This window comes from Homo sapiens, chromosome 5 (genome assembly GCF_000001405.40).
Source record: "Homo sapiens chromosome 5, GRCh38.p14 Primary Assembly".
Classification (NCBI taxonomy): Eukaryota; Metazoa; Chordata; class Mammalia; order Primates; family Hominidae; genus Homo; species Homo sapiens.
Window position 1 is genome coordinate 179,603,745 of NC_000005.10, and position 10,188 is coordinate 179,613,932.

The 10,188-nt window shown below is 52.0% G+C and overlaps 1 protein-coding gene and 1 long non-coding RNA gene across 16 annotated transcripts in view, besides 4 other annotated features; both read left to right on the forward strand.

Moving 5' to 3' along the window:
- RUFY1 (RUN and FYVE domain containing 1) overlaps positions 1-6,268 on the forward strand; it is a 59,459-nt gene extending 53,191 nt beyond the window's left edge. For 10 of the 15 annotated variants that reach the window (NM_025158.5, XM_006714921.4, XM_047417777.1 and 7 more), the window contains 3 exons: positions 2,132-2,180; positions 3,838-3,915; positions 5,632-6,268. In NM_025158.5, coding sequence (NP_079434.3) covers positions 2,132-2,180; positions 3,838-3,915; positions 5,632-5,775 — 271 coding nt within the window. In that variant the 3' untranslated portion in view covers positions 5,776-6,268. Of the gene's footprint in view, positions 1-2,131; positions 2,181-3,837; positions 3,916-4,540; positions 4,722-4,745; positions 4,873-5,631 lie in introns of all 15 variants that reach the window. The other 5 variants (XR_245276.4, XR_007058642.1, XR_007058643.1 and 2 more) reach the window with 2 other exon arrangements.
- LOC128966623 (uncharacterized) overlaps positions 1-10,188 on the forward strand; it is a 130,785-nt gene that overhangs the window by 81,288 nt on the left and 39,309 nt on the right.
- Positions 3,005-3,505: an enhancer, noted in NCBI's record as "H3K4me1 hESC enhancer chr5:179033750-179034250 (GRCh37/hg19 assembly coordinates)". NCBI's record gives its function as "activates a minimal SCP1, AML or CMV promoter by ChIP-STARR-seq in primed H9 embryonic stem cells {active_cell/tissue: H9 hESC(primed)}" and the evidence as "EXISTENCE:reporter gene assay evidence [ECO:0000049][PMID:30033119]".
- Positions 3,506-4,006: an enhancer, noted in NCBI's record as "H3K4me1 hESC enhancer chr5:179034251-179034751 (GRCh37/hg19 assembly coordinates)". NCBI's record gives its function as "activates a minimal SCP1, AML or CMV promoter by ChIP-STARR-seq in primed H9 embryonic stem cells {active_cell/tissue: H9 hESC(primed)}" and the evidence as "EXISTENCE:reporter gene assay evidence [ECO:0000049][PMID:30033119]".
- Positions 4,074-4,133: an enhancer, noted in NCBI's record as "active region_23752". NCBI's record gives its function as "activates an Ori minimal core promoter by ATAC-STARR-seq in GM12878 lymphoblastoid cells {active_cell/tissue: GM12878}" and the evidence as "EXISTENCE:reporter gene assay evidence [ECO:0000049][PMID:35858748]".
- Positions 10,084-10,143: an enhancer, noted in NCBI's record as "active region_23753". NCBI's record gives its function as "activates an Ori minimal core promoter by ATAC-STARR-seq in GM12878 lymphoblastoid cells {active_cell/tissue: GM12878}" and the evidence as "EXISTENCE:reporter gene assay evidence [ECO:0000049][PMID:35858748]".

Here is a 10,188-nt window from a genome sequence, read left to right on the forward strand (position 1 = left end):
TTGGTCTCTGATCTTTAAAATGTATCATTGTGGCCGGGTGTGGTGGCTCATGCCTGTAATCCCAGCCCTTTGGGAGGCTGAGGTGGGTGGATCACCTGAGGTCAGGAGTTCAAGACCAGCCTGACCAACGTGGAGAAACCCCATCTCTACTAAAAATATAAAATTAGCCGGGCATGGTGGAGCGCGCCTGTAATCCCAGCTACTCAGGAGGCTGAGGCAGGAGAATCGCTTGAACCTGGGAGGCGGAGGTTGCGGTGAGCCGAGATCGCGCCATTGCACTCCAGCCTGGGCAATAAGAGTGAAACTCTGTCTCAAAAACAAACAAACAAATGTATTGTTGCACTTTGTGGCCGCCTGGCACTACCGGCTAACCTAGCTTCCAAATCCCAGTGTGAGCTGCCTGGCCACCATTCCCTCCCAGTGAGTGCTGTGGGTGTCACAGCATCAGGTGTTTGCAAACCCAGACAGGACTACCTGAGGAGTTGCTTTTGTGCTCTCTCCCCTCTTCCCTTCTTCCTCTTGCAAGCCTATACCGGATGACAGAGATGGCAAAGCCTCTTCGCAGGCCCTACATTAGCTACAGGAACAGTTTCCAGTTTCATTGGCTTGGGAACATCTGGATTCTTCCTAAATTGTGTTTCCCAGAGTTCTTGTATGTTCAGTTTGCCTTGTTGACCTGGCTTCCCAAGGTCTGTCCATCTGCGCAGCCTCTTCTCATCCTGTCAATCTGCTGGCCTATTTCCTGTTTCTGCAGCCGGACCAGGAAGGGAAGGAGCTGCCTCCCGATCTTTAGTAAAAGCCACAGGGATTTTTCTAAATGCCCTGATGCTGTTTTCTAATCCCTCCCTTCGAAGTCTAGCCTGTGTTTCCCAGAGACCTGCCATTTTGTCACTGAGATGAGTCTAATCTGATGATAGTTCAGACTGATCTCAGCTTTTAAGAAAGACCCAGGCCAGGCTGGGCGTGGGGGCTCAGGCCTCTAATCCCAGCACTTTGGGAGGCCGAGGCAGGTGGATCACTTGAGGTCAGGAGTTCAAGACCAGCCAGGCCAATATGGTGAAACCCCATCTCTAGTAAAAGTACAAGAAAATAAGCTGGGTGTGGTGTCGGGCGCCTGTCATCCCAGCTACTTGGGAAGCTGAGGCAGGAGAATTGCTTGAGCCCAGGAAGCAGAGGTTGCAGTGAGCCGAGATCACACCACCGCACTCCAGCCTGGCCAATGCAGCAAGACTCCATCTCAAAAAAAAAAAAGAAAAAAAGAAAAAGGCTCAGGCCTATAATCCTAGCACTTTGGGAGGCTGAGGCAGGTGGGTCAATTGAGGTCAGGAGTTCAAGACCAGCCTGGGCAACATGGCAAAACCCCACCTCTAGAAAAAATACAAAAATTAGCCAGGCGTGATGGCATGCACCTGTAGTCGCAGCTACTTGGGAGACTAAAGTGAGAGGATCACTTGAGCCCAGGAGGTCAAGGTTGCAGTGAGCCATGATTGCACCACTGCATTCCAGCCTGGGCAATATAGCAAGATCCTGTCTCAAAAAAAAAAAAAAAAGGATCAGACTGTTTCCCTCAATTGCACAAACTGCTTCATTTTATTTGGTTTAGTTCTGCCAATTTAGACCATGTTCAGTCCTGTCTCTTGTGTAAACAAAGGAATTGTTCTGACACTGAACAAGAATGGAGCAAGAACAAATGGCTATGCCATCTGAGCCTTCCCCCTTCCAGACAGCAGGCAGCAGAATGGAGGCCGGGGAGAAGCCTGCAGACTCAGGTTCCTGCTGGGGAGAGCGGTAGAGACTAGTGCAGAACAGGGCCAGGTCTTGGACTTCTGGCCTCAGGCCATCCTCTCGCCTCAGCCTCCCTCAAAGTCTTTTTGAGCCCCTGCAGGCTAAGCAGTGTGTTCTCGTGCCAGATGCAGTCCCAGGCTCAGCCTCAGCCCTCAGCAGACGGGAGCCAGTGTGATGAGGCAACTCTGGGATTGTACAGAGGCGGAAGGCATTTTAACAACTCACGTTCTGGGTCTCCTCACAAGTCCGGTATCCTCACAAAGCTAGTCCTGAGAGCCAGCTGTGTTAGGGATTCAGAGCCTCACTCTCTCTCACTGCTATGAAATGGCCTTTTTTTTTTCCTTAGGTCCAAGCTGAAGATGGAAGATATAAAAGAAGTGAACCAGGCACTGAAGGTACTGCCTTGCTAAGAACCACTTCTTTGCTGTCAGCTTGTGCTGACTGCCCGTGTGCTCGTACGTTTAAGTATCCCAACAGTCAGGTGAGAGCGTGTGGTTGAGGCAGTGGTGATGACGTATTGACAGAGAAGCCAAACGCTGCTCAGAAACGTGTCCCTCGGCTGAGGGCGATGCTGACAGGTGGCCGAAGCTGAGCCTAGGTCTTCCGACTCCAGTTCCTCCACCATCAGCTGTGCTTTCAAAATAGGCCTGATGGGCATTCCCTAAGGGGGAAGCAGGTGGCGGAGAGGAGGGACCCGCGGATATCTTTAAACAGTGGAAAACAGGCCCTTCTGTTGAAGTGAGGGGCCAGAGGCCAGCCAGCCCCACTGCAGTGCCCTGTGCCATTGCTAGGGACCACTCAAGCCAAGCCCTGAGTTGGGCCAGGTTTCCGCACCCTGGTGGGGAGGGCAGAATGACACATTCCACCGAAAAGCAGGAGTTTGCAGGTGGCCCGGTGTGGGTGCGGGTGCCAGGCTGAGCTGCAGGGCGGAGAGTGTGGGAGAGGAGGCAGACATTCGGGGGCACGGCAGCCTGGCCTTCAAGACAGCCTTGCCTGCAGGAGCACCCCGCTTCGGCCTCAGCTGTGCCGTGGCAGCAATGCAAAAGCAGTCCCTTTGCACACTGTTCCACGTGGTGCAGAGCAGGGACCCTGATGTCTCTGGGCATCTAACTTCCAAGTGCCAGGTCAGGGGCAGCAACTAACAGCAGCCGGGACTTCTAGGTAATATCAGTTTCACAGCATCAGAGGATAGAAATCATAAAACAGGACTCTAGAGCCGCCAGAGCTCTTTGATGTCAGGATGAATGTCCTGGGCACACACTGGCAGCCCCAAGGGTATATGGCTCTAGCTCAGTCTGTGAGGATCTATTTGTCAGCAAGAAAATCTTGTCCAGCAGATGTTAACAGGCCAGAAAAGTACCTCATGCCTTTGACTTCTCTGGAACACCCCAGTCCCTAAGCCCAAATAAATCACAGGTGCTGCTTCGCCCTGAGAAAGCCCTCTGAGGGGCCACCTTTCAAAGCCTCAGCCGCCTCCCCTGTGGAATGGAGTCCATGTGCTCCCCAGGGCTGGTCAAGAATCAGGGCTTTGGCCCGCATGGAGAAGGGCTTCCTCAGGCCTGTGGGACGCAGTGCCCGCTGTCCATCACCTTCTGTCTCTCCACAAGGATCAGCGTCAACAAGTGTCTTAGTCTCACTCAGATTTGGCCCTTCTTCCGCGCCTGCCAGTTCAGCTAGCACTTCGGCCAGTGTCTCAGGCAGGGTCTAGGGTTGCAGGCACCAGAAGCTCGCTCTGCTTACTTCAGCCAAAGGGAACTGATTGAAAGTGGGAGTGTGCCTGAGTGAGCAGATGCTGGAGACCGCCTGGAGGCCCCAGGGCAGCCTGCAGAGGCCAAGAGGTGGAGCACGGAGCTAGGATGCAGAAATCCCGGCTGCGGCCAGACGGGGAAAGAGCCCCTTGATGACAGTCCTGTGAGGCCCCATCTGATGGAGAAACAGTGCCTCACTAGGAAACAGGTGCTATGAGGGACAATGGATGTGGCCAGAACGCAGCTACCCACTCATCAGGGGCTTAGACAGAAAGTGGATTCTAGAATGTCCTTTCCTCTTCAGGGCCACGCCTGGCTGAAAGATGACGAAGCGACACACTGTAGGCAGTGTGAGAAGGAGTTCTCCATTTCCCGGAGAAAGGTACGTGGGGGCTCCACCCACCCTCCCAGTGCCCTGAGTCGTTGCCCGCTGGATTCCCCTTTCTCTGGTTCCAGAAGCCCATATCAGAGCAGGCTCACTGCCCGGTGACTGTGCTGACTGTGGCAGATGGGCAGCCCCGCCTCTCCTGTTTGCCTGTGCAGATGGCTTTCCATCCTGGCACCCTCTTTCTGGGAGGCCTTGGCCAGTCATAGGCCCCTGGTCTCCAGCACATCCTTTCAGTGATTGACAATGATTTTTGGGGAGATGGGGCTCCTTGTGTGCAGAGCTGCTCTAGGGGAGTGTCATTGAAAATTCTCTGTATGCGGCAGGAACAAAATCTGGCCCAACTTAGGCAAAAACAATCTATGGGGAACCTACAGGGCAGCAGGTCACCAAAAATCACTAGTGATCTAGGCAGCGTGCTTGCCCCTGCCCTTTAGGTTCTGGAAACAAGGTCCTAGGCTCACCCTTGGGTCTAGGGTTGACTGGGCCTTATTAACAGTCTCACCAAGACCAGCTGGGTAGGGGAAGAGTTGGGTATAAGCAAAACTGGGAGCTAAAGGAAACACTGCCAGCGCCACCCACCTTTCTGCCACAGCCATGTTCTGTCTGTTCCCATCAACAGCCTAGCTCTGTGGAAGAGAGGAAGCCACAGCTACCCCACCCGCTCCCCAACCCGAGTTTCAGGCAGTGCCTTGCAGTAAGCTCAGAGCTAGAAACCACGTCCTGAGGCTGCCTTTGAGATCACATGTGTCTACAAGGCCTGGCTGTCCCCATCTGTGGAGTCAGAAGCAGAGGCTGCACAGGTGCTCATCTTGATGTCTTATCAGGCACCCAGGGAACCTGTTTAGAAAGGGATCTACTCCACCCCCTTGGAATGCAGCAAAGAGAACGAACCAGACTCTTCCTGTAACATGGACTAGCAGCTCACTGGCTTAGTGATGAAGTACAGCAAAAGTAAACTTTTTGTCTTAAAAACACCCTTAGGCCGGGCACGGTGGCTCATGACTGTAATCCTAGCACTTTGGGAGGCTGAGGTGGGTGGATCACGAGGTCAGAAGTTCAAGACCAGTCTGGCCAAGATGGTGAAACCCCATCATCTCTACTAAAAAAATACAAAAACTAACCGGGCACGGTGGCAGGCACTTGTAATCCCAGCTACTTGGGAGGCTGAGGCAGGAGAATCGCTTGAACCCAGGTGGCAGAGGTTGCAGTGAGCCGAGATTGCGCCACTGCACCCCAGCCTGGGCGACAGAGACTCAAAAAAAAAAAAAAAAGCCGGGCGCGGTGTTTCACGCCTGTAATCCCAACACTTTGGGAGGCCAAGGCGGAGGCAGATCACGAGGTCAGGAGATCGAGACCATCCTGGCTAACATGGTGAAACCCCGTCTCTACTAAAAATACAAAAAATTAGCCAGGTATAGTGGCGGGCACCTGTAGACCCAGCTACTGCCGGAGAATGGCGTGAACCTGGGAGGCAGAGCTTGCAGTGAGCTGAGATCGCGCCACTGCACTGCAGCCCGGGCGACTGAGCAAGACTCTATCTCAAAAAAAAAAAAAAAAAAAGACCCTTGTTTGCACACAGCCCCTCACCACCCCACAGAAACATAAGAACCCATTCCCAGCAAATGATGCGCTTCTGGGTCAGGAAGCAGGGAGGGTGTGCGGATGGCTTTTCCCCGGGTGTCCTGTGACCGCCTTCTTCCCGTCCTGTAGCACCACTGCCGGAACTGTGGCCACATCTTCTGCAACACCTGCTCCAGCAACGAGCTGGCCCTGCCCTCCTACCCCAAGCCGGTGCGAGTGTGCGACAGCTGCCACACCCTGCTCCTGCAGCGCTGCTCCTCCACGGCCTCCTGAACGTCCGTCCTCAGGAGCACAGCCTCACGGACAGTGCCAAACCCTGTGGGTCTCCAGGGGCTTGGGAAATGTGTTCTTTCCCAAGAGTATCAAAGGAAAGAATCAAATTTCTTGCCCGGTCACTGGCACTCCAGAAGACAGCGTGCCGGAACCGGCAGCTCTCACCTTTCTGTGACTTGTTCGGAATTAACTCCTCTGGATGGAAACTTCCATCTTACTTGGTTACATCACGGCTCTGGTTCAGATACAACTTCATGATTTTGCTACTATCATTTTTCACTTTTCAAAGAATTTAACCTATTTTACAGCAGTTCAGTTCTGCTAGTGAGTAGTTTTCCTCTCCTACCTTCCTTCTAAAAACCTGATTCATGCACAGCGTTTGACACACATGGAGTCTGCCAGTGTGCCTTCTCTGCTTCAGACAAGAGATCTGCCATTTCATGCCCTTGTGACTACCTATCATTGGCCCTGCAATAAAATCATTTATTTTTCACTCTGGTGCGTGCAGAAGCTTGTGTCAACTTCCAAAGAGCCCACCGCACCGGAGGAGGCCTCAGAGCGCCCCTCGTGCCCGAGCCCCGTGTGAGTGAGAGGCTGCTGGTGCTGCCCCAGAGCCTGCAGGGCAGCCTGGTGAGCCAAGGGCAGTTTGCAGGGTCAGCCTGCCGTCAACAGGCAGAGGAGGTGACCCCAAGCCTGTCACCAAAGTGCAAGAGTCGTTCACGTACATAGTTGGGAGTTTGATAGGTTACAGATGGAGACACCTGTGAAAAGGCACGTGCCAGGCAGCCATTTTTCACATTTCAAATGCAGCGCTACGACTGGCTTCCAGTCCCTCCCTCGGAGGCCCCCACCCCCAAAGATCCAATGGCCCGGGGCTCCCTTCCGGTAGAGACAACAGCATTATCAAGTCCAGACAGCCAACAGTCAAGTCTTCCAGGCCTCATCCTTCTCCACCTTCTATACACATACCTTGTCCGCGACCCTACCCTCCCTTCCCACGGGCTTCCTACCCTCGCCAAATCCAGGCCTCAGGATTCCACTCCTCCTTTGGGCTCTTCCTCCGAAGCAGGCTCCCCCACGACCTGGTCAGCCCTGGTAGATGCTTGCATGGCACCCTCAACTGAATTCCTCCTCTGCCGCTCCCTCCCCTCAAACCGCTCTGAAGATGGAAAAGGTGGGAGCTTGGGCAAGACTCAAGGATTCCCCCTCCATCCTATACCGCTTAGGACTGTGCGGCCAGACTTCAAGACGAGGTCCGCCCTGCTCCAAAGCCATGTCCTAGCAGGGTTCCAACCCTATTAGGCAAGCACATTGGCAGCCCTCCCCTTTCCTCACCCCTCACCGTAACAGCTGCCGTCTCATACAGGGCCAAACTTTCAGAAAAAACTGCCTATCACTCACTACCCCTAACTGGCATATATGACATCTGTGCCTTTTCAATACACCCAGTTTGGACCCCTAACTTGCTGGGCAGCCTTAGGCAAGTCAGTTCACTTGAGTCTTAGCTCTCATCTGCACACACAAAAGCAGAATAATCTATCCCTCCCCTACTTCAAGTCTGTTCTGACAGCTCAGTATAAAAACATGCAGGAGGTTCCCACCTCTGTGCCTGACACTTGGGTATAAACACAAGTGTTTAAGTGAAATTTTCAAAGTTGGCAATATTTGGTCAAGATAACTTCCCTACTCAGAAACTGAAATATATTCCAAGCCCTAACTCTGGAATCTCCAGTCCCTGGTCTGCTACCATACCACCTTTACCCAGGCCTGAGAAATGAAAGATAGATATTTTAAGGCAGCACTTCCCAAGTCAACTGAGGTAGGGGTGAGTGGTCAGGATTTTGTTTAAAATGCAGATTCCAACTGACAAGGTCAGGAGGTTAAGTTACTGCAAACAAGCTATGGAGCATAAGATTCCAAAGAACCATAATGCTTCTAGACTTTTTTTTGAGACAGGAATTTCGCTCGTTACCCAGACTAGAGTGCAATGGCACGATCTTGGCTCACTGCAACCTCTGCCTCAGTAACTGGTATTATAAGCGTGCACCACCATGCCCAGCTAATTTTTGTATTTTTTAGCAGAGACAGGGTTTCACCATGTTGGCCAGGCTGGTCTCGAACTCCTGACCTCAGGTGATCCACCCACCTCAGCCTCCCAAAGTGTTGAAATCACAGGCGTTAGCCACCGCCCCTGCCCTAGACTAGCCGTATGGCTCTGGATTTAGTTTAACCTTACTCCAAGTTTCTAGTTCTACTCCCTTCTCTAACAGGGCAAGCTTTATCCTTAAATGTACCACAGTTAACTAAAGAACCCAGAGAAGGGACCTTCAATCTTTCTCAATACTGGGCCTCAGTACCAAACTATTAACGCAAGATCTCAAGGGCAGTAACCAAGCTTAGAACACAGCTCAACAACTCTCAACACTGCCTCCCCCGACAACTGCTGTTCTCTAGACCTGCCAAAGACAAAACCAACAATACACATTCCAGACCCTTCCCTCTGCTAGTGTCCAGTCCTGGTAGGGGCAAGCAAGGTAGATCTGCAAAGCCCTCCCCTCCATGTCTCCTGCATGCACTGCTCCTGTGGGCAGATGGTTAGAAATGACCGATACTAAGCCACTCTGTCCACCCTACCTAGCTCTACCCCAACAACAAACTCAAGAAAAGCTCGTGTAATCGCAGAAAAGAGAAAGCTTATCCACACTTCGCTTTAAAGGGCGGCCGGGCGCGGTGGCTCACGCCTGTAATCCCAGCACTTTGGGAGGCCGAGGCGGGCGGATCACGAGGTCAGGAGATCGAGACCATCCCGGCTAAAACGGTGAAACCCCGTCTCTACTAAAAATACAAAAAAAAATTAGCCGGGCGTAGTGGCGGGCGCCTGTAGTCCCAGCTACTTGGGAGGCTGAGGAAGGAGAATGGCGTGAACCCGGTAGGCGGAGCTTGCAGTGAGCCGAGATCCCGCCACTGCACTCCAGCCTGGGCGATAGAGCGAGACTCCGTCTCAAAAAAAAAAAAAAAAAAAAGGCACAAGCCTATGTGACAGCCTAGTTCAGACACTACATTCTAATTTCATTATCAGGGACTTGAATCTAATGGGATGAAAGTAGTAGCGGCAGTTCCCACACTGCAGCACCCCTGAGCATCTGCTGAAGGAACCCCGGGAGCGTGCTTTTCAGGACTGCTTTTGTGATACCCAACCTTGTATTAACACGAATAGACTCTCCCTTACATGCCTAACCTTGTTTTTAATATGAAGACTCCCTTCGCTGAGAAAACCAGGCCAACTCCATTTGGCTCCTTCATTTACAAGACATCAAGGGCTCCTTACCCACCCCCCTTTCCTCAAGGACTTTAACTTGTGCAAGCTCTCAACGTATCAAAGAGTGCAGTTAACTGATAAGGTGCTGAGGCAAGCGATGTCCAGTTCCCAGCAATTTACTCAGAGATGGTACCATCAAGCCCCCATGTTTGTCCGGTAGATAACACCCAGAGCCCCCTCACCTGTCACTTTGTGATGAATTTGAAGCTCCTGCACCTGGAACTGTTTTCCTGTAACCATTTGTCTTTAACTTTTTTGTCTGTTTTTCTTCCCTAAGATGGCTGCAGCTAGAATCCCCCTCCCCTCTCCAAACCAAAGTATAAAAGAAAATCTAGCTCCTTCTTCGAGGCCGAGATACTTTCATGCGGTAGCCGTCTCTCGGTCGCCGGCTAATAAAGGACTCCTGAACTCGTCTCCAAGTGTGGCGTTTCTAACTCGCTCAGGTACACCACTTGGAAGCAGCTTGAATACTTGCTATCATCATGTTGGAGCTTCGAACTACCAAAACGTGATATATTTAAGAGTTCATTTAAACTTCTCATGTTAGCTCTCAATCTCTACCTATCGTTCTACCTTAGGAGACTTACATGGAATTTTGCTTCCAAGTGGAATTGATTTTTAGGAATGACCCAAAAATACAGAAGTTCAAAACTTCCATTTGAAAACCATCTGTGAAGGCTGGGCAATGGCTCCAGCCTATAATCCCAGCACTTTCAGAGGCCGAGGTGGGCAGATCTCATGAGGTCAGGAGTTGGAGACCAGCCTGGCCAACATCGTGAAACCCCGTGTCTACTAAACATACAAAAAAAATTAGCCTGGAGTGGTGGTGGGCGCCTGTAACCCCAACTACTTGGGAGGCTGAGGCAGAAGCCCACAAGGTGGAGGTTGCAGGTGAGCTGAGATCACGCCACTGCAATCCAGCCTGAGACAACAGAATATAACTCTGCCTCAAAAAAAAAAACAAACCTATGAGCTTATGAGCTAGAAGAAACCCACATATTCATCACACCTCCCTTGCCTCCGGCACCTTCCCAGCCAAGCATGAAGGCCTCAAAGACATGCAGGCATGCAGTGAGGGCACTGGCGCCTCCCCC